We start from the raw sequence: 23,955 nt of genomic DNA on the forward strand, positions 1-23,955 counted from the left end.
TGCAGTGAACCGAGATGGTGCCACTGCATTCCAACCTGGGCAACAGAGACTCTGTCTCAAAAAAATAATAAAATAAAATAAACTACATCAGAATAAAAATATAAAATGAAAAACATAAACTATATTTAAAATTAAATTAAATATTTAAATAAATAATAAATTATGTATAATAATAAAATATATCTTAATATATTTTATTATTTTAAATATAGGAGTTACCATGTGCCTTATAAATGTTCAGACACTTTACTGATATTAATTTATCTAATCCTTTTAAGGTACCCATGAGGCAGTTACTATTATGATTATACCCATTTTGCAGATGAAGAAACTAAGTCACAGAGAGATAAGTAACCTGATCAATGTCACACAGATAGAAAATAGCAGAGCTTATATTTAAATCAAAGCAGTCCAGCTAAGCAATCCATGTGTTTAATCACTATATTCATGCTATCTATTAACTTCATCCTTTAGTAGTTCTTTTAATACTGATCTGTGCCTAGTAATGCTATTGGAATTTGATTCTCTTTTTTCTAAAATTATTGTTGTTTAAATAAATAAATAAAACTTTACCTACCAAGTGTGGTCAGCTGAATAATGTCCCCTTCCCAAGATGTCCACATCCTAATCCCTGGAACCTGTGAATGTTCATTTACTTGGCAAAGGGAACTGTGAAGGTGTGATTAAGTCAAGGGTTTTGAGATGAGGAGATTATCCTGGATTATCCAAGTAAGCTTTAAGTGTAATCACAAGTGTTCTTATAAGAGAGGTAGGGAGACATTGGACTACAGAAGTAGATGTGACAGTGGAAGCCTAAGATTGGAGTGATACAAGAAAGGGTTCAGTCCCCAGATGCTAGAAAAGTCAAACAAACAAATTCTTCCCCAGACCGTCCAGAAAAATATGCCCTACCAATGCCTTGATTTTCACCCTGGGTGACTGACTTCAGACTTCTGGCCTCCAGAATTGTAAGAGAATAAATGTGTGTTGGTTTAAGCCACTAAAATTGTGGTTATCTGTTACAGTAGTAATAGGAAACTAATACAAGAATGCATGCAAAACTCCAGGACTTGAGAAACAATATTTCCTCTCATGGATCTGGATCTGTGGGTCAGCTGATCTCCTCCATGTTCAGCTGGGGATGGCTCTGCTCTTCATGTCTCTCACCCTCTTCGTGGGACCAGTGGGGTGACCTAGGCATGTTCTTCCCATGGCCATGGCATCAGAACAGGAGAGCAAGTGAAAACTCACCCTCAAGATTTAGGTTTGAAATTGACACACTGTCATTTCCACTTCATTCTATTGGCCATGGTAAGTCATGTGGCTGAATCCAGAATCAAGAGGTGGAGAAAAACACGCCACCCATTTTTGTGGGAGTTATTGCATGGCACTTCACAGTTCTCCCATAAAAGGGGTGGAGAATTTGGGGCTAATAATGCAATGTGTCCCAACTTTTATTTTATTTTATCATTTATTTATTTATATTTTTTGAGACAGGATCTCCCTCTGTCATCCAGGCTGGAGTGCAGTGGCACAATCACAGCTCACTGCAGAATTGTCAGATAATAAATGTGTGTTGTTTTAAGCCACTTGAACTCTGGGATTCAGGTGATCCTCCCACCTCAGCCTCCGAAGTAGTACAGGTGTACAGCACCACACCTGCTATTTTTTTTTCCATATTTTTAGTAGAGATGGGGTTTTGCCATGTTGCCAGGCAGGTCTTGAGCTCCTGGGCTGAAGTGCCTCCCAAAGTGCTAAGATTACATGTGTGAGTCACTGCACCTGGCCCCAACTTTTTTTATTCTATTTTTAATTTTTGTTTTGTTTTTTTTTTTTGAGACGGAGTCTCACTCTGTCACCTAGGCTGGAGTGCAATGGTGCAATCTCGGCTCACTGTAACCTCTGCCTCCCAGGTTCAAGCGATTTTCCTGCCTCAGCCTCCCAAGTAGCTGGGATTACAGGTGCGCACCACCATGCCTGGCTAATTTTTGTATTTTTACAAGAGATGGGGTTTCACCATGTTGGCCAGGCTGGTCTCAAACTCCTGACCTCAAGTGATCTGCCCACCTCAGCCTCCCAAAGTGCTGGGATTACAGGTGTGAGCCACCATGACCAGCCTTTTTACTTTTGTTTTTAATTAACAAATAATAGTTGTATATTTTTATGGGTAAAATGTGACGTTTTGATATATGTTTACAATGTGGAATGATTAAGTCACAGTAATTAATAAATCCATCCCCTCACATAATGTATCATTTTTTTGTGGCAAAAACACTTAAAATTTACTCTTTTAGCAACTTCTGTCTATTGAATGATGCTTTAACCTATTATCAAGTTCTAAATTCATGGTTGTTTTACTACGACATTTAAAAATGCATTCCATTGTTTCCTGACATCTAGTTTTTGAGTGAAAAAATTGCTCTCAAATTGTCATTCCCTTTAGGTTATCTTCCATTTCCCTCTGATAGCTTTTAAGATTTTTCTGTTTCTTTTGGAGGAAGCTTGGTTTGGATTTGTTTCCATTTATCTCACTCAGATCATACAGTATATTCTGTCAAACTGAAGACTCCTGTCTTGCTTGGGGTCTAGGAAGTTTGTAACCATACAAGGTCTTTCTCATTATCTCAGTTTTATGCTTCTGGAAGTCCGAGGCTGAACCTTCCTATTCTATCCTCTACCTCTCTTCATCACTTCTTTATATCTCCTTATTTTTATATGCTATATTTTGATTGATTTTTTTTTTCAGAATTGCTCCCAAATCACTAACCCTCTCGTTGGCTGGAGCTATCTGCTATTTAACATTGTTGTTGAGTTTTCATTTCACTTACTATATGTGCTTTATAACTAAGCTTTCTCCCCATACTACTCTGTTTATTTTTTTATTATAGTTTTTATTCTTTATCTCCTTAAGCCTTTTAAATGTGCCTATTATGTTTCAGATTATCCTATAATCCCCAGTTTTGGGGGTACAAATTCTCCTGGTGGCTGCAGCTGCTCTCTCTCCCTTGTGGAGTTTTGTTTTCTAATTTTTTTTTTAATTCCACGGTTCTCTGTGTTTTGGAACAATCCTTTCAGTGCTGTTCCACTCTTGTTTCTTCCGGGGCCTGTGAGGTTTATAAGTTCCAGTGCAGCATTGGTGTTAATTTCTCAGTGTGGGATTCCTGCACCCCAGGAGTGGTGTAAATTCAGGACTCACACCTGCTCGGTGCTGACTTAGGTTTCCAGTTCCTCGCAGATTTCTTTATCCAACCTACCCTGGGCCTGCCCCAGAGGGTAGAGTTTCTGTAGTCCCATTTCCTATAAGGGCCCCGTTTGTGTAGCAGACTGTCCCAGCGTCTACCTCACACAGATCTAAGGCTTCATCTCCTGTCTCTGATCTGGACTCCATCCCAACCCTCAAATCAGCCTGATTGGGAAAGTTCTGTGAGCCTCTATGGCTGTAACTTCCACTTGCAGATCTGGTCTTTTGTTCTTTCTTTATTTCTGGTACCAGGAATTTTTACTTTCCTTCTTTCAAGTTTGGCTGCTTGCTATTAAAAATGGATACACTTTCCAACATTTCTGTATTGGAGCAAGAGATAGATTCATCCATCATCATCTCCTTTCATCATGTTTAGAGGGAGTCTCTGCTTTGATTTCCTGCTGTGTAGTTCATATCTTGTTCAGGGATCCTATTAATTTTCCAGTCCCTCTTTAGAACTGGGACCCTGGTATAAAACCAGCTAATACCAACGGGCCCTCACGTCTCCTTCTATCCTTCCTTCCCCAGGTTGAATCCTCCAGTCCCAAGCACCACTATACAAAAGTCTTCCAAAACCGACCAACCACTGTCCACCTGGTTAGATTTCTTGGTTAGAGCAGTCCTACCATATTTGACCTGCTTCCAAAGTCAAGCCAGAGGTTGTGACAGTGTTGGAATGCTAAACAGATGACCCTCACTGAATGTCTACCTCTATATAAAGGTCACTTCCACCTACCTATTCCCCACCTATGAGCTACACACCGTCGAGCAAATCGCTGCTAGCTGATGGACTAGGCCTCAACAATCCACTCTTCTATACTCACTGAAATGTCCTCAAGAATATAGTAAAATTATACTAAACAAATATCTAACTAGCTAGAGCCCCCAGTTCAACCTTTCTGATCCCAAACCATTGCTAAAACTCTATTTTGAAGACAAGGGAAAAGAAGCACATCTTGAGAAAGTTTTTATCGAGGATTTGTTCAAATAATCAATTATCTGGTTATGTGCTAATGTCATACACATTCATCCCAATCTCTGAGTGTACAATGGTTATTGACATTCAGACAAATCAATCTGAGACACTAGAAATTCTCATTGGCCAAAGGAAGATTAATGGACATTCTGTATGTGCTGTGACAGTAAAGACTATGAATACATTTTTTAAAGATTTTCAGTAAGAATTGAAAATGAAACATTTATTAAGTTAAAAAGAAAAAATAAACAAAATAGATATTAACCAAATATTCCCATTAATTGAGGCATTTCTGTACAATACCCCTATTAAGGTATAGTATTAATAAAATTTTTCTGTTTCCTGAAATTATTTTCCATAGATGTTTAAAACTAGATTATAAATTTAATTCACCTTGTGAAAATCTGCAATAAATATTACCTTTTGACATAGTAAAAAAAATCAATAATGCAATTTTGAAGTTGACTTTTTAATGTGACCTACATCAGGATGGGTACTGCTGAGAAGTCTTTGGAAGCCAGGCGTAGAAGCACACGCCTGTACTCACAAGTACTCAGGAGAATGAGACAGGAGGATTTCTCGAGTCTAGCAGCTCAAATCTAGCCTGGGCAACGTAGTAAGATTCTGTCTCTACATGTATATAATATATACATATCCTTTTATATTTTTTACAGCTGATTTGTGTAATATTAAATATCTTTATATGGAGTTTAAGTGACTGGAGATATGATTTGATACATAACATGACTAAACCATGAAGGGAGAACTGTGTTATCAATAGAGGTCTATATTCCTCTTAAAGGTACAGAAAGAATATTCTTCTGACACAGGTAATTAATGAGGCAGCTGTTATAATATGCCACACTTCATTAAAATTCAGCTGCCTAGCTATTATAATTCCCTATCTCTTTAGATTGAAAAGTATCTAATGTAATTATTTCTTATTTTATGATAGACTAAGTATAACATAAAAATATTTGTAAACCACTGACATTAATGGAACAGAAAGAATGCTGCAATAAGTATCCAGATAGGCTTTGCTTTTAACTAAGACATTTCTAATACTAAAATAGAATTGGATTTGCTTAGGAAGTTCTAGAGGTTGATTTGGTCTTTCCTTCAAGGGCTGTCTAATATGGTAGCTTCCATTAATTGTAGTGCCTGTTTGTGATTTAATTTCCAAGAGTTTAAGTTGCTTGCAGCAGTGGTACTGTCCCTCGGACTTTTCCAGCCACTGGTTGCCAAGACTTTATGATTTTGCCCTTAAACTGGGCATGTAGCTCTCTCCTTTTTTCTATTCTAATGAATATTCCCACAATATAAAAAGACATTTCTTTAGCTAGACTTTGATTTTCACAATGTGGCTTTCTGTTAAACCAAATTCCTTTTTAAGAGACTTTATTTTTCTTCACTAAATGCAATTAATATTTAAATCTATGTTACTAAATACTTTTAAACCATTTCACTAATATTTCCTCATGTTAATTTTTTGCTGTTTTCTGAACTTCCAAATCAAGTGCGCATTAATTTTAGAGTGGTGATAAAAAGGTGGATTTTCCAAAAAGATAACTCCATGAAGGTTTTCTTGTCATCTGTGAGTGGACAGTCTGTGAAAATAATCAAGGCACTTGATAGTGTGACATAGGTCAGGCTTTGGAGCCAAATAGACCTGGCTTCAAATCTATACTTAGTAACTCTACGAGTTGCTTAACTCTCTGAACCTCATCTTTCTCATTTATCAAATGAGGACAATAATTATTAGCTCTTGCAAGTAAAGGAGGCAAGATAAGAAAAGCAGAACTGTTATTAGCTCATTTTTCTATTCTAAGGATGTTCATATTTTTTGCTTCTGACAAGAAATAATAATTGACATATTATATATGCTCAGTCTATCAACTAAAGGAGTAGCATGCTTCTCATTTATTCTCTTGAGTTACTTCCTAGCAACAGGAGTTGTTGGGAGCAGATGGAGACAGTTTGTAACGTCAACCAAGAATAATGCAAAATGTTATCAGTCTTACCTTAAATTAGTTTGTGTCAGTTAACAAAGTGCTGAGCAATTGCTCAAGTCCATGTTGTGCCCCACACAAAGGGGTGTCTGTACCTCAAAGACTGAGTTGGAAATAAAAACCCAAAGCCTCCAAAGAAGAAGCGAGAAAGAAGACCTCTGTCTGCACTGACTCTGATTGGCATCTCTCTGATAGGAATCTAAGTCACTGCGATTTTTCCAGAAGATAAGGAAGTTCTTTTTCTTTAAAATGTTCATGTTGCCTAATGTAAGGAATTGCTGGCCTTTATCAGTTTTTAAGCCTTGGATCCTGGGCCACTAATTACCTGGAAGTCTAGAGAGATCCAGGAAGCATATATAAAAGGCTGGTTTTCCAAAAGAGATTGTGCTTCAATTTCCCAATGTCCCAGTCTTTACTGTTGCCATGACCAGGTGCATGGGCTCAGCTAGTGCATTTGCATACTCCTCACTTCTAATCCCTGCCTGCCTGCTACACACCTTCTGGACCCTGACTGCTGCTCTCACAGTAGAGCACCTGTCAGGTTCTTACCCAAGTTTCTGTGATTTCTTAATACTGATCATTCCCCTTAGCTGCACTCAGTCTTTCCTTAACTAACTCAACCCAGGCTTCTATCCCTGCCTTTCCAATCTATTGTCATTCCCAACTCCAATGTGATAACTCCCCCTCAAACCCCACCACCCGAAAAAACAGAAATAAAAATGCTGGTCAGGCACGGTGGCTCATGCCTGTAATCCCAGCACTTCGTGGGGCCAAGGCAGGAGGACCGCTTGAAGCGGGGAGTTCAAAGCCAGCCTGGGCAATGTAATGAGACTCTGTCTCTACAAAAAAAATTTAAAAAATTAACTGGGCATGGTGGTGCACACCTGTAGTCCCAGCTACCTGGGAGAATGAGGTGGGAGGATAAATTGATGCAAGAATTCAAGGTTATAGTGAGCGATGATCCTGTCACTGCACTCCAGCCTGTGTGACAGAGTGAAACCCCGTCTCTAAAATATAAATAAATATATATTTTTATATATAATAACTTATATATAAAAATACATATGTATAGCAGCCCAGAGCTGTCTGCCTTCTCAGAATTTCTGCTACAAATTTTAGATATTTCTGCAGTACGTTTTAAATACCCATCATCAACCGATGTTGTTAGACAACTAAGTTATATAAATTGCCCAAAGAACTCCAGCTCTAAAGCCTCCCAAGTTCTATAAGACAATGCTTGATATGATCTTATGGCTCAGTGTTTCCCAGAGATGGTGTGTGGTGACTGATGGGTAGGCAATGAGGATTCTTTTCATGGCCTAAGACAAATATCTTTCCTTAGTCTCTTACAGGAGAATGAAGTGCGTGTTCATAAATTTTCATTTGTATATGTAACTAAGAACCAGTTTGTAAATCCTACTGTCTTAACCAGGTTCCCCAGAAAGCAGAGACAGAGGCAAAACTTATATGCTACTACCTTACTACAGCATGCAATCCAGCAAAGCAGGACACCTATGGCAAGAAAATTAGTGAAGCCATCTTAAGCTCCTGAATCTGTTGCTGGTTCCATAATAACCAGGGCCATAATCAATATTCACCACCTTGTCTTCCTCCTTCAGTGCAGTCTAGATTCCCTCATACTTGGCTAGCACTTTGGCTGATCTGGTTTTCTTGTGTAGTGAGTGACCCAGGCCTTTATCTCTGAGGGTTCTAAGCTCTTACATTGCCTGGATCTTGTGATCCATGGTTGCCACAATTGCCCATTTACCATGATCACTGGACACAACACCAAGAAATGTTCCATTAAATCCTCTGTTTCCCAACATACTCCTCCCTGCCCCTATGTCTCAGTAGCACTCTGAGATCCTCATGGTAATCAGGGTTGATTAGCCTCATCAATATAGACACTCCTTTCTTTGCCCAAAGTAACCAAGTGGCAGTTGCAGTTTCAAGTTCAGCTAAATCTTACTGTGTTGTCTGATAAAAGGAATTTCCCTGGGAACCAGGGCTTCTAATCTATCAGAGCCTAAGAGTATGGGTTCAGAAAGCATAAGTTCTACAAGTGTCTGGCTGGAAACGATAGTGAGAGGAAGTCAATCCTACTTGCACTCCTTGGTCCCTGCCTCTGCGTATTCCAACTGTTAAGGGCTCACACCATATACCAACCATTGGTTTGGCACATATGTCACAAGTTGGAGGGCAGTGCTATAACCCTTAGCATGTTGTCCATGGTTAGCCCCTTAGCTGAGCTTTTAATAGGCTATTCTGCCATTCTGTTAGGCCAGCTGCTTTTAGATGATGGGGTACATGGTAATACTAGTGAATCCCCTTGCCATGTACCCATTATTGCAACTCCTTTGCCATAAGATGGTGGAACATAATGTTGTAGTGTTATTCTGTATTTGTTGCCACAGGGTTGCTCTAACAAAGTACCACAAATTAGGTGACTTAAAACAGCAGAAATTTATTGTCTCACAGCTATGGAGTCTAAAAGTCTGAAATGAAACTCTTGGTAGGACCATGGATCCCTCTGAAACCTGGAGTGGTTTCCTTCCTTGCCTTTTCCTAGCTTCTGGTGTTTGTGGGCCATATTTGGCATTCCTTGGCTTATAGCTGCCCCACTCTAATCTCTGTCTTTATTATCACGTGGTTTTCTCCTTGTGTGTCTCTGTCTCTTTGTCTCTTCTCCTCTTCTTATAAGGACACCAGTCATATTGGATTAGGGGCCTGCCCTACTCCTGTATGACTTTAATTACATCTGCAATGACTCAATTTCCAATTGAGGTAACAGTCCAAGGTGCCAGGAGTTAGGTTTTCAACACTTGTTCTGGAAGGACACAATTCAACCTATGACCAATACCATGCCACTAACTCAGGCAACCTTAAAATAAGATCCTGGGATTTATTTTCAGTATATTCTGTCTTGCAGTTACAAAAAATAAGAGTATTGTAAAGCTACAGAGAGGACCTCTATCTTCACAACATGTCTTTAGTTGGCTATGCTGAGGTTATAAGTGTTTTTGAGAGGCTCCCAATGCTCTTAAAAAAAGCTAACCTACTCCACAATTCTTGTCATGATTATTCCTCCCACAATGGTTAAGCCACAGTCTTCTTATATCCCAGTAGTTCACCTTCGACCTGTACCTCATCCCAATTAACCACAGGTGAGTATCAGTCACTGGGATGCCACAGCATGCCAAGGGTTATCCCCATTCCTCTCACCACCAGAAATGAGGTCCCTATTGCTTTCAGATAGCAATAATTCACCTCCAAAATCTCATCCTGAGGCTCTGTTTTCTAGGCCACTTATGTCATCATGAGTGTATCTTATAAGTAGAATGTCCATGCGTATAACTATGTATCCTAGCCTAGATTCTCCAGAAAGCAGAAACTCGGTTAAAACCTTGTCTGCTATTCCTTTATTAGAGAGTAAATCCCAGGGAAATAGTAGTGAAAAGGAAGATAAAGAAGCAGGGAAGATGGGAAAGCCAATATGAGGGCATGTTACCAATCTGGCCACCATTTGGCAACAGGTGCAACTGATTACTCAATTTCATAAGACCATCTTCGGAGAATCTATATGAATGATTGTAACTCAAGACAGTAATGCCAGTCTTTTGGGGTGGGAGGCGTCGAATATTTTCTTTACTGATTTCCATCTCCCACTAGTCAAAGACTCACCCAAGAGGGTGCTAGCTCCTCCTCATTTCTAGGTTGCACATATATGGGCATCAAACAGATCCCACAGTGTCTCCTTCCTCACCATCAACAAGGATGTCCAAGGGTAGAAAGCAAGTACTGCATGGGGCAGGCATAAGGAGAGGTGCTGTCAAGTTTAGCTCTCTTAAAATCAATTGAAGCCTTCACCGGTATGGTCACTGTAGGGGTGGCTGGAGTGAAACAAGTGACCAAAGACTCTTAGAAGCAAGGAACATTGAAAGAATCAAAATGGCACAAAAGTTGTGGGTGCTTCTAGCAAATAAGTGAGTGATAACTAATTTTTAAAATGTTTCATTCTTAATCCAAAGGTAACATCTTCACTGAGTTATTCTTTCCTTGAAAAGTGGGAATGAGAAGAGTAAATGATACAGTGTGCCTTTTGCCTAAGGAGTTGGGAGGTCAAAAACACTGTATACTCTTGCCTCAAATGACCTCTATGCTGCTTATTTACTTATTAACTTAGTTTTATCTTGACTTTTTAAAAAAAATTTAAAATAAATTGTAACAAAAGGCAGACCAATATGATAGACATATAAAATGACTCAAGCAAGTGCAGGAAAATAGAAATATGCTAATGGTATCTTTAACATAATTTCAATGAGAGAGCTGTAAATTTGGCTTCCAGTTACACAGTTCAGAAATCATGATAAGTAATATAGCTCTTATTATCAGAAAGGAGGAAGCAGGCTTTAGGAGAAGTGAAGTTTTTTCTAGCACTGGAATCTAAAATAGCTTTCTGATATGGAGGTTTATAGAGAAGAAATTGTGTGATGTAATGGAAAACGTCCTCAACAACATTTTTACAACAAATGTACAAGTTGATTTCATTTAACAACGAGGTGGGAAAATTTATTAATTCAACAGCTGATGCTAGAATTCCTTCTAGGGAGAAAACAACTTTTGCTGGTAATAACACTTAGGGTATAAGTGGAACCCTCTAGGTCTGGTATGAAAGCTTGTAAGGAACAGGAAAACAGTTCTGCCTAACAGAGGAAAAGGAATCTGGAGGGCCACAGGGCAATTTGGAAGAGTGAGTGAAGAGGTTGGATGAGAAGGGAGATGAGGGGAGCAGAAGCCACTGAGAAGGCAGAAGGCTCTGTGTAGTGATCCCTCATCCCCTACCACAACCCTCCGTCTTCAATAAAGTTTTTGCTAAACTTGGCATTGTTCTGGGTATTTCAATGTGGGTATTGAAAGCAAATAAGTGCCAATCAGATGGCAGCAAAGTGAGATGGTGACAGATGTGAGGAATGCAGAAACAAAGAAGAGAAAGGCAGGTAATTGTCAGCCATCTGGGATTCGTGAGAACTGGAGAGAAAAAAGCACTACTGATTAAGGGCAGGTCCACAGACTTTCACTACCAGATGAACAATGGTTGAGTCTGACATATCTTATAAGGGCCAAGAAACATGACAGCATCAGCATGACACACCATCCCTCCTCTGAAGGTGGATGAGATACTCATTGTGAAAGAGGCAGCCAATTATTACCTAGCATCATTTTCCCCTTCTCGTTTAGTGATAGAACCTTCCCATTTTTAGCTCGGCACATGGGGTCCCAACTAGAGACATTTCCTAATAAAGGCATTTCCTAATAGGTGATTATGGCCTGTTAACAAGTGGTCAATGAGATGTAGGCAAAAAGAATGTAGACAAGTTCTGGATCACGTTCTTATGGGAAGCTACTTGATCATTGCTTATTTCTCTATTCCCAAACTCTAGAATGAGAACATGGTGCTGTGAGCCAGCTTTCACCGTGTGGATAAGGACATAATCAAGTCTAGGCAATGGCCTAGCAATGACATAGAAGGAATCTGGGTTTCCTGGTGAACTACAGCTGCCTAGCTACTGACTCATCCACTCACCTCAACTCACCCTGACCACGTCCCAACTCAGACTTTTACATGAGAGAAAAAGGAACTCTGTGTTATGTTTAAGCCACTGTTATGTGGTCTCCATTAAAGCAGCCAGATCCATATCATTTCCTCAGAATATATGTTTCATTTACTGACACAACTCTACCCCTTGGGTGCAGCTGTTAAAACCATGTAGTATAAAATATTTTCAAAACTTAGTCAAAATCATACTTCGTGGGTTATAACAATGGTCCATCACTGATACACTGCAAGCACTTCATTGGTAAACTACTCTATTTTTATATATTTTTGGTATAACCATGTGTAGTACTGTCTGTTAGATAAAATGTTGAGCTAAATGGACCACGTTGCCCATTATAGAGCAGGACTCAATATGCTACAGGTAGAGGTAAGAAACATGTTGTAACATCCTGCTGGCACAAAGAGCCCACACTTACTGAACATGCCAAAACGTTGCCTCATGAATATAGAAGAGAGGGCAGTCAGAGAAGTACCAGCTCTATTCTTATAGAAACATAGTGAACAGAGGAGAATCTGCAGATGCTCTTACAACTACTATAATATATATTTAATCTCTGGTCATGATTATAATTATTGCTTTTTTAGAACAGTAATTCAGTTAAAAACTTAATTTGACTTTATGCAACAGAAACCAAATTCCTGTAGTTTAACCACATACAGGATTATCATGTTTCAAGAAATCTAGAATAGACAGTATAAGACTGCTATGACAATTCCACAAGACCATCAAGAACCCAGCCTTCTACCTTTCCTCATATTGATTCTGGACATGTTGCTTTCTTCCTTGTGATCACTTGTTAATCACAAGACTGCTGCACCATAGACACCACATTAGAAATCCAGACAAGACGACAGAGGAAGAATGAAGAACAACAACACACCTGAGTTTGTCCTCTTAAAGTGTTTTCCTAGAATCTGTACCTAATGATTTCTGTTTACAAGATGAATTGCCCAAAACTGTGTCCTATGGCAATCCTTAGATGCAAAGGAATGCAGGGACGTGAGAATTTTTTCCTATGCACATTGCTGATATAAATAACTTCAAAGCTCTCCCAGTAAGAAAGAAGGAGAGAGTGAATACTGGATAGGCAACCAGTGTCTGATATATACTGTCAAAAAAAAAATTGCTACTAAACTGGATGCCATGAGTCCAAAAAGGTGAGAACCGCAGGAATAGAAGTTTTCAAATATTTCTAAAACAATCATCAAACCATTCTATTACTTCTTTTGGGGGGTGTTCTATCACTTAATCGTAAGAAGAGTGACTGCTACTGCTCATTTTTCTAACTACTTTTCTTTCTGTTATTATGTCTTCAATATTAGTTGGAAAATGTGTAATACTGAAGTGGATTAAAGATAGACACAAATTTTTGACACTGTTCTCATCAAAAGGTGAGTTTTATGTCCTCTTTTCTTGGATCTAGGTGAGGTCTGCCACTGCTTGACCAACAGAACATGGCAGAAATGGTGTTGTGCCAGTTTTCAGGCCCAGGTCTTAAAAGACTGGCAGCTTCCTGTTTCTGTCTTTTCAAATATATATTCTTGGAAATTAGCTGCCATGTTGGGAAGAAGCTCCAGTGCATTGTGGGAAATAAACAAAAGCCACTAGTTTATATCCCAGCTCAGAGCTAGCACCAACTCACAGCCACTGTAGTGAGCCATTTTAGAAGTAGATCCTCCAGCCTCGTTGAGCTGAACTAGCTGATGTCTTTTGGAGCAGAAATGAGCTGCCCCCTCTTAAAACTGCCCAAATTTCAGATTTGTGAGGAAATAAATAATTATTATGGTTTCAAGCCATTAAGTTTTGAGAGGGTTTGATACACAGCAATAGATAACCAAAGTAATTACTTTCAGTAGAAGAAATTAATAATGCCTTAATGCTTTATAAATAGATTAATTTCTAGTGGTCACAAATTGTGAAGAATTTAAGTATCATCACGAACATGCAACTTTTCTTTATTTGGTGCAATAAGCCAGCAATGTATTTATTATTCATGTTTGACTTTGTAGTTTGTCTAGCTGCATGCATAGAACCATTGATGTAAATCCTTGACCAAAAAATTGTAAAAGGTATATTCTCCACTTACATAAAACCAAAAAATATTTAATAAGCAAATGAAAACTATACCTGAAGAGCATCTGTTACAGTAGTATCACCTTCCTGAGCTCTGAATAAATTCTGAACACATAAGGAATTTAGAATAGTGGTCACCTTTAAAAACAAAAACAAACATGTACTGTTAGCTCTGTTGGGTCTTATCATTTAAAGAAATCAGTTACTGCCACTAAGACATTCAGCTGATAAGGACAGGAATGAGTTAGAGTAGGGCAGAGTACAATGGTCGGTCAGGATGCTTTATCTGTCTAATATATTAAAATTTTATAATTTTAGTCAAAATATTTTTCTGCATTTTTACTATTTTTATAAAGTTTTAGGGCTTTCAGAGGACAAAGTCATTTCAAACTAGAGCTCTCTAGACTGTTTGAAATGCAACTAAAGAAATTTTTCTTTATCCATTTCTGCCTGAGGAGTTACACCCCTAAATCAAAACTTTTTAATGTACCCAGCACATAAATAAAATTTATGGTTGATTTTCAATTAGACTTGGTCCATGAGTGAGCAATTTGATATTAAATCTGAAAACTGAATTGCTTCTTTTTTTCCTGTTGATAGGCATAAGTTAGGATAGAGTCAGTGGTATATAACCAAGATTCAAAATAATAGTGTCTTAAACACTTTCACAGGTAAGCAATACAGGGCTGGTATGGCAGCTCTGTTCTGTGAGTTGTTCGGGAACTCAACTCCTTTTGTCTGGTTGCTCCTCCATCCTCAGGTTGTTTTTCCTACCAATATATTTAAGGTGGCTTGTCACCACATCTACCTTCAAAGCAGTAGGATGAAAGAAGGGCATAGCCTCCCTTTAAGGATGAGGCCTAGAAGTTTCGCAAACCAATTCTGCTTGAATCCTATTGATCAGAACTCAGTTACCACAGACCACACTCAACTGCAAGGAAGGTGGACAATGTAGACTTTTTCAGAATGGCCATGTGCCCAGCAAAAAATTAGACATTCTATTGCTATAAGACAGAAATGGACATTAGATGCTAGAGAACAACTAGAGTGTCCACTGCAAGATGAACTCACTTGGGAGCAACAGTGAATCTTCCAACTAATATTTTACTTTTACGAGACCCTTGATTTGAACGTTCTGCCTGAATAAGCACTAGACAAATCCTTTACGTAAACCTCTCTGATCAAAATTTCCTAAAGGCTTCTGCACTATGAAAAGAGATAACACCTTTAAGTCATCATTAGGTACTAGCCATAAAACACTGTAATAAATTAAAGAAACCAGAAGTCATTGATTCAGAAATGGCAAATAGATAGTCAGGGCAATTTTATCTTTTGCAAGCAACAATTTCTAGAGTGCTCTACATGTTTGCTTTTTACTCAACTTTAACTCATGTAACATCTTTCAGCAGAAAATCTCAAGAAGCTTTTATAAACGTTAATTAACTGAACTTCACAATACTCTCAAGAACTGAGTATTAATACATCCATTTACATGGCAGGAAGCCAGATGAACATTACGGTGGAGCAATATGGAGCTTCCTTGGTTTCAGCTATATAAAAACATCAAACAGGCAGTACCAGAAATTCAATGTTAATCTGAAAACTGAGTATTTAGCTGCTTTTAGACTGCTAAATTATTATTATCCTATGTTCAATACAAGGAAAGCCATTTTACTAAAACAAAAAGAAAGCCTTATTTTGAAATGCTACTTCAACTTACAAATGACTGATGTGTCATCTAGCTATAAATCTAAAGATAATAATAAAATTGGAAAGATTTTCATCAGATAGACTTTTAACACCAAGCTTGATGCAGTTTGTTTCAAGATTAAATATGAAAAAAGCAGCTGCTTAAAAAAAGTTATTCAATCCACGTGTCAGGAAAGGAAAGCACATATCAGATTTCTTTGAAGAAAATAATGAAATTATATATTAATGTATATTGTGTGTATTTTCTGAACCTAACTTGGAGTTATTGTGATGAATAAATAATAAAGATGATGGTAAGATACACAATTGATGTGAATGAACTATTCAAACAGCTAACTTTTTTATATAATATGAAACATATCAACAATATCTAAAATCCCAAGGTTTTTTACATTGCTGTTATTAATTGGAGAAATTCATTATATGCATTTCATATGTTCAAAGGAATTTTCCAAATAAACCAGGAGATATAACCGTGGCCTCTTATAGAGGCAGATAAACTCAATTTAGCTGCTAACATTACATTTATTCTGGTAATCTGATCTTTGTCTAAAAAAGACTGAGGTCTAAGCCTTGGTTTAATGGAAGCTAAAAAATAGAAATAAAGGCAAGAGTGTTATTTTCATAGGAATGGACAAGTGTCCAGTGTAAGGTTTACTGATGACAACCAGCATAAGGAGTAATGAAATATGAACCAATGACTTTTAGCTCAGACTTTCATCTGTAATCTTTCCAAAAATCTTCTTAAATAGACATTTTATACCCCTTTAATAAGGGCAATTAATATAGGACAACATTCTAAAAACTCTTTTAAAACTTCTGGTTTTTTAAAATCACAAGAAACTTAAAATAAATTTTTGGAAAATTTCTCCTAGGACATTTATCCCGGCAAGGCTCATAAAGAGAAAAACTGTGCCTTCCTTCCACCTGGCTCACCCTTTCTTGTGGACTGACATGCTCAAAACATTAGAGAGGATTGTAAGCCAGCTAGCTAATCAAAGCCATTTCAAAGCTAATAGCCTAACCTTCTGGGTTATGTTGTTTGGTTGTAGAGGGTCCAGTGGGAGGACTTTTCCAAAGGAATATCAAATTTAACTTTAATGACTTACACAAAGAAAATAATTCTGGTCATCAAAATGTGATAAATGTGGCAAGTCTCTTTGCTAATAATACAGATGAAATAGAAAGGATGATAGTCATCTATGATAATGTGGAAAATAGCTTCATCCAGTATTGCAAGTATTTTAAAGAAAAATGCATATATGCATTTTCCTATATACATTAGAAAGGTTTTGTTTGTTTTTTAATAAGACTACGGACCTTTGTCTACAGATTTATTATATGAAATTCATTTTAAAAACAGCTACTGTTTTTAGCTGTTTCATACCTCCTATAGTAGGAGGTATGAAAATGAGCAAGATGTGGTTCCTGCCCTCAAGAAGCTTGCAATGTAAAAAAAAGAAGGGGGGTGGTATATTTCCAAGAGAATAAAATAGGCATAGCTGAAAAAGAACAAATAGCATGTTATGAGTTTTAAAGAAGAAGATTGAGTTTCTTGGGAGAATCAGGAAAAGTTACATGAGTAAGGAAATATTTGGTATGGATCTTGATGTATGGGTATGATTTTGACAACTAAAGTCTGGTTACGTGGGAGTTGGGGGTAGTAGTGGAAGAATTCCAAGTAACAGAAAGAAAAGGCAGAGGACACATAAAAGTCTAAAACACACTGAGTAGCATAGGTAGAAAGCAGAGTGCCAAGTAATAGAAGATAAGAATGGAAAGATAATAAGTTAAGGTAAATGCTATTCTTTGTTTCAGCTTGCAACATATCCATCAGAGGTGTTGGACACAAACTCCTGAGAGTGGATTTTATTCTATTTCTTCTTTTAACTTTTATTTTAGGTTCAGGGGTACATGTGCAGGTTTGTTATATAGGTAAACTAGTGTCATGGAATTTGGTGTACAGATTATTTCATCACCCAGGTAATAAGCCTAGTACTCAATAGGTATTTCTTGTGATCCAGTCCCTCCTCCTACCCTCCACCCTCAAGTAGGCCCCAGTGTCTGTTCTCCTCTTTCTGTCCATGTGTTCTTGCTATTTAGCTCCCACTTAGAAGTGAGAACATGCAGTATTTGGTTTTCTGTTCCTGTGTTAGTTTGTTAAAGATAATGGTCTCCACCTCCATCCATGTTGCTGCAAAGGACATGATCTCATTCTTTTTTATGGCTGCATAGTATTCCATGGTGTTATATATATCATATTTTCTTTATACTGTCTACCATTTATGGGCATGTAGTTTGATTGCATATTTTTGTAATTGTGAATAGTGCTGCAATGAACATATGCATGCATGTGTCTTTATGGTAAAATAATTTATTGTCCTTTGGGTTTATACCCAATAATGGGATTTCCAGGTCAAATGATAATTCTGTTTTAAGTTCTTTGAGGAATCACCACACTGCTTTCCACAATGGCTGAACTTACACTTCTGCCAGCAGTGTATAAGTGTTCTCTTTTCTCTGCAACCTTGCCAGCATCTGTTATTTTTTTATTCTTTAGTAATAGCCATTCTGACTGGTCTGAGATGATATCTCATTGTGGTTTTGATTTCCATTTCTCTAATAATTAATGGTGCTGAAAGTTTTTCACACGTGGGCTGCATGTATGTCTTCTTTTGAAGAGTGTCTGTTCATGTCCTTTACCCACTTTTTAATGGAATTGTTGGGTTTTTTTCTTCTTTTGCTTGTAAATTTGTTTAATTCCTTATATATTCTGGACATTAGACCTCTGTCAAAAGTATAGTTTGCAAATATTTTATCTCATTTGATAGGTTGTCTATTTACTCTGTTGATAGTTTCTTTTGCTGTGCAGAAGCTTTTTAGTTAAATTAGATACCATTTGTCATGTTTTGTTTTTGTAGCAATTGCTTTTGGCATCTTTGCCATGAAATCTTTGCCGGTTCCTATGTCCAGAATGGTATTTCCCAGGTTATCTTCCTGGGTTTTTATAGTTTTAGGTTTTACATTTAAGTCTAATCCATCTTGAGTTAATTTTTGTATAAGGTTTAAGGAAGGGATTCAGTTTCAATCTTCTGCATATGGCTAGCCAGTTATCCCAGCACCATTTATTGAATAGGGACTCCTTTTCCCCATTACTTGTTTTTGTCATCTTTGTCGAAGATCAGATGATTGTAGGTGTGTGGCATTATTTCTGGTCTCTCTATTCTGTCCTCTTTGTCTATGTGTCTGTTTTTGTACAAGTACCATGCCATTTTGATTATTATAGCCCTGTAGTATATTTGAAGTTGAATGATTTTTAAGAAGTTGTTCCATAAACTCTTTATTGCTAAGAGTGCTCATTCAACTTTTGGTAAGCTATGCCATATAATTGTACATTAAAAGCTCCAAAAGTTGTATTAATTATTCACTTGAGATGACCACAGCTATATTAAAACCTCACTTATTTTTGTCAAATGGGAACCACATTACCTGGGTAAAGCCTGTGATCTTTTTCTCTATGAGTATAATAAACATGGAAGAACTTTAGGATCTATAGATGAACATTAGAGGTATGAGTCTCTTCTAACCAACCCTTCTAGAGACGTTGAAGGAGCACCAGTATTTACTGATTTAAGTTTGACTTCCTCTGACCCAAGCCTTCTAATGGAAGTACTAATTAGTATTAAGATAACCCAATGCAAGATCAGCTTTTAAAGCCAAATATGGTATGAAATATTACATGTGCCAAATTATTCATTTTACATGCAGGAAATAAAAGCCCACAGGTTAAGTAACTTGCCAGAAGTTACCTAGTAAGTTAACTAGCAAATTTTCAGAGCTAGAGCTAAAATAGGTAATTTTCAGAGCAAGAAAGAAAAATTATTGAATTTACCATGATGTTTTTTTCTACTTCTCTTATCAAAGATCATTTACTAAATAAAGACCTCCTGACTTATTTAGAATAATTATGACAAATATATTTGAAACTGGTTCCCTCACTTATTTTCTTTGTCCATGCTGGCCTCTTTTATGATCCTCAAAGATGCCAGACATGGTCCTGTCTCAAGGCCTTTGCACTTGCTGTTCCCTGTACCTGGAATGACCATATGATTTCGCAGCCATTAAGTATAAACATTCCTCCAGAAAGATTATGCTGCCCTTCAAAAACCAAGCCCTTGCTACATGTTTTAGAGTACTGTGAAAATTAGGGATCCTTCTTAGGTCAGGCTTGTTTAGCTTCTTTTCATTATGAGAAAGTAATTGCAGAATCCCAAAGGGCAATCACAGGCTGATGTGAAGTCTTGTCTGCCTGGGCAGTCCAAGAGCCCTAGCAGGCATGGCTGACTTGGTCTCAGGGTGGCAAAAGGGATGGTCCCTCTCCTAGAGCCAAAGGCCCTGAGAATGATCAGCAAACCCTCCAAGGGGAGAGGTATACTTAAGTCCTGGGTGACATCCAGGCAACAACTCTCCTCCCTCAGACCCGTGAGATAGGTTTACCGGCATCCTCCAATCACATGCTTTACCTCATCTGCGACAGGTTTAATGGATGTATCCAATCCCAATTTTCTTGCCTCATTTGAGAAACTAAATGGTGAATACCTTTAAATTGTCTAGTAGAAAACAGCTAGAGAGCATGTTATCTGGACAAAGAAACTTGTCACAAGAATTTTGCACATTTTGCATGACTTTGCTTTTGTGTAAGATATATAATATACCCTTTGGGAGGAGACACTGAGCTAAGTGTGACTTCCTTAAGAATAACAGACACTGTCACAGTTTGTTAATCCTATTTGTCTCCCAGGAGAAGGAGAAGATTATTAATTACCCAGCAAAGGTCAGGGGGTCATCAGGCCCATAAAGGGGGTTTACCTCAGAAAACTAACCAGTGGGAGGCTGAGCAAATCTACAAGCCATGCACATGAAGGCTCTCCTCCCTGAGCACAGCCTCCAGGTCCTGATATGCCTGCAGAGTGTCTGCAGAGGACACAGTCCAATTTCTAGACTTGCTTATGAATTTCAAAAACTTTGTGTATACATAGATATCAAGGTTTACAGGCAAACTGATTGAAAGGGTGTAATTTCTGGTGCCCTGCCTAACCACGCAAATGCGGAGCTGGGTCAGCTTGCATCTGCAGCACGGCAGTCCCTTCCGAATACCCAATACTCCAAAGGAGATGGGAGACCTCCTACTTCACCCTGCCTTCAGTGACAGCGCTTCTCATTTTCTTTGCCTTCTGCTTTCTGATCCACGAAGTAGAAGTGAGAAAAAAAAAACTTCACAAATTAATATACTATTGGATTATGCTGCCACTTAAATGGCTAATTGTAATACACTGTGAGATAGGCTAAATTAGGAATATGAAGTGCCAGTGGGAAAACAGATGAGGCAACCTGTCAGCCTCCCCAGGGAGAGGACCAGTGGTGGAAGCTTTCCAGGGTTAGGCTTGGACCCTGAAGGAGGAATCAGGGTGTGCCATGCAAATATTTAAGAAGGAAGGCCATCTCCACGGAAGAGACTGACAAGGCCGATGCCTTTGCCTTTGCCTGCAAAGCTGCAACACTGCCTCTCTTCTTGGGCTAGGAAACACCCAGCTTCTCCTTCACTGGTTTTGGAAGGCAGGCAAAAAGCAAAACAAAAACAAGAAAGAACCACCAGAGCACACACCTTTCTAGGTCAAATCTCATTTCCTAATACCAACAACAAGTTTGACACCTTTTCATTACCAGCCTTGGACTTAAACTCCACCCTCTCTCCAGAGTGGGAGTGGACCCAGATGAGCAACCCAATCGCTTATTCTAGGGTCTGGGCAGTATCCCCTACTCAGTTCCATGTTTGATTTGGTTACGGAGGGATCGTCATTGAGCCAGTAGCATCAGGACCTCTGTTCCACAGCCGCTCTTTCTACAAGAGTCTATGCACTCCTCCCCTAGAAGGACACCATCTGCCAGCAGGAGGAAACCTCTTTTCCTGCCACTGTCTGCCCTGGTCCTCCTTCCCTATCTCTGAGGCATCTGCAATCTTTCATGCCTGGCTCTCTAGCCTAGATAGTTCTAGAACACTGGAATATATTAAAACATTCATACACACACACAACTTCTTTCAACAGCATAAGAACCTAATGTTGAATTTTCTTGAGGTTTTTTTTTTTTTTTAGCTCTCCTGATAATTGCTCATGTGTGGACATATTAAGATCATCATTCCGCACTAGTGATCACTATCCGAAAGTCAGGGAAAAAATCAGACTGTCAAAATCAAAACAATTTCAAGTAATGAAGGTTTTGGGTATAAAATATGTGTTTAAGGGATTTTGTTTAAAAATACACTTTGGCTGTCACTTTAAAAAGATTCGACCAGGGAAGAAAAACCACTATGCATGATATGGAAGTAGAAATTTATTATAGGAATTGGAACTTGCACAATTGTGGGAAGAGCAGGGAAGGTAAAATTCTGAAAAGTGGAGTTAAAACGGTAGAGAAAAGCCACAGACGACTCAGAACTTACAGTGATTCCTGGGAGCCAGCACGTCCTGCTGCCGGAGTGGGACCTCAAAGCCTATGGAAGGTTGTTGGTTCTTCAGGTCTACGGCCTCTGTGAATTCTCAGCAAAGCATCTGGTAGAAGGCCTGGTAGAAGACCTGGGACAAGGTCACCATCAGGAGGGAGGGGGGTGCGAGGACAAACAGGAACCTGCTAACACCTCTGTGTCTGTTTCTATCACCAACAGGTGCTGATAACCTTCAGAACATGGCAGCTGCTTTCCTTCTGCCTCCCAGAACTCACAACTTCCCTTTGGACCAACTCCAATCTGAAATTATGTAGAAAGGGAGAGTCTGAAAAACATAGTCCCAAACATAACCAAGTAGACAATAGAACAATCTGGCACATTGATTGGTATTTTGACTTAACCGCCAGATCACCAGCAGCTCATTGTAGGCAGGCGCAAGTAAATATCTCACCTCAAATGCAACAAGTACAAAATGAATGCATCATAGTGTCCCAGGCTTCCATTAAACAAAAACAAATAAATAAAACAAACAAAAAGCAATCTTTTATCCCTCAGCTTTATTAATGCATAACTAACAAATAAAAATGGTATATATATTTATGGTGTACATCATGACATTTCTTTCCGTGTATACAAAAAGCAATCTTTCTGAGTACTGCTCAGTTACCACTACCTCTAAGTGATCCTGTGTATTCCACACCCTAAGTGTCCATCTGACCTTCCTCACTGCCCTGTGTCCCAGCAGTCTCTGCCTTCTATCAAGCTTTCCTCTTTGCTTTCCCGCATTAATGAAGTGCTCCTCTCTCTTGCCACCCTGCCTCCAATCTCGCCCTGCTCCAAACCTTCCATTAAACCACATGAATCTTTCTAAAATGTAAAATTCTGCTTATTTTACTTAAATTATTTTAGTGACTCCGTATCACCTATCATATACATCTTTCTTGGTGTGATATGAAAGACCCCTCATATATATTCTGACCCCCACCTACATTTTTAGCCCCTCTCCTGTCCTAATCCCAAATGCACTGTGCCCCAACTATTTTAAACTATTTGTAAAACCCTGATTATAGGATTATGTCAACACAGGAGTCTGTGTGCCTTCCTCCCCTTGCAAATACAGTTGCCTGACAAACTCCTTCTCATCCCATAGGATTTGACTCAAACATGACCTTCTTTGTGGTGTCCTCCTTGTTTCCTCACCTTCTCCCAATCCCCAAAGTCAGTCCATAACATTCTCCTAACAGTGGATAGCATGTGCCATGCTGTACCAGGTCTGCTGATTTACATGTCTGTCTTCTGTGCTAGTTGTGAGCTCCTCAATGTTAAGGACCACATCTCATTCATCTTTGTAGTCCCAGACACTAACACTTCCCAGGTGCATGGTAGGGGCTCAATAAACATTTGGTTAAGAAATTAATTGATGAATCACAAGATCTGACATGTTTAAATATTTTATTCCATATTTATAGCTGCTTCCATACAAATTATGATTCCCATAAAACATAGGTTTACATTTACCAAAAAAAAAATTAATTTGGGGGTAATCCAATACATGTACATGGCCAAATAATGAAATTCAGTTTAAATCTTGAAATGGCCCTAAATCATATGACCTCATTGATCAGATTAATAAGATTATTTCTAAATCTCAATTTCACCAGTGATGTTTAAACATATTTTTGACCTGCCATTGGAATACAGAACAACAAAGGAAACATCTGGTTGTTCTTAACTTTGGGGAGACAAATCCATTTGTTAACAGTAGCAATAGGAGAGCTGACAGAACCTGATAACAGCTCCAACACAGGGAGCTCAGCCCACAA

The 23,955-nt window shown here is 38.4% G+C and overlaps 1 long non-coding RNA gene across 2 annotated transcripts in view; it reads right to left on the reverse strand.

Moving 5' to 3' along the window:
• Positions 1 to 23,955, reverse strand: part of COMETT (cytosolic oncogenic antisense to MET transcript) — a 124,434-nt gene that overhangs the window by 78,016 nt on the left and 22,463 nt on the right. For both annotated transcript variants that reach the window (NR_165032.1, NR_165033.1), the window contains exon 2: positions 22,130 to 22,432. This is a non-coding gene — a long non-coding RNA (cytosolic oncogenic antisense to MET transcript). The remainder of the gene's footprint in view (positions 1 to 22,129; positions 22,433 to 23,955) is intronic.

This window comes from Homo sapiens, chromosome 7, assembly GCF_000001405.40.
Source record: "Homo sapiens chromosome 7, GRCh38.p14 Primary Assembly".
Taxonomy (NCBI): domain Eukaryota; kingdom Metazoa; phylum Chordata; class Mammalia; order Primates; family Hominidae; genus Homo; species Homo sapiens.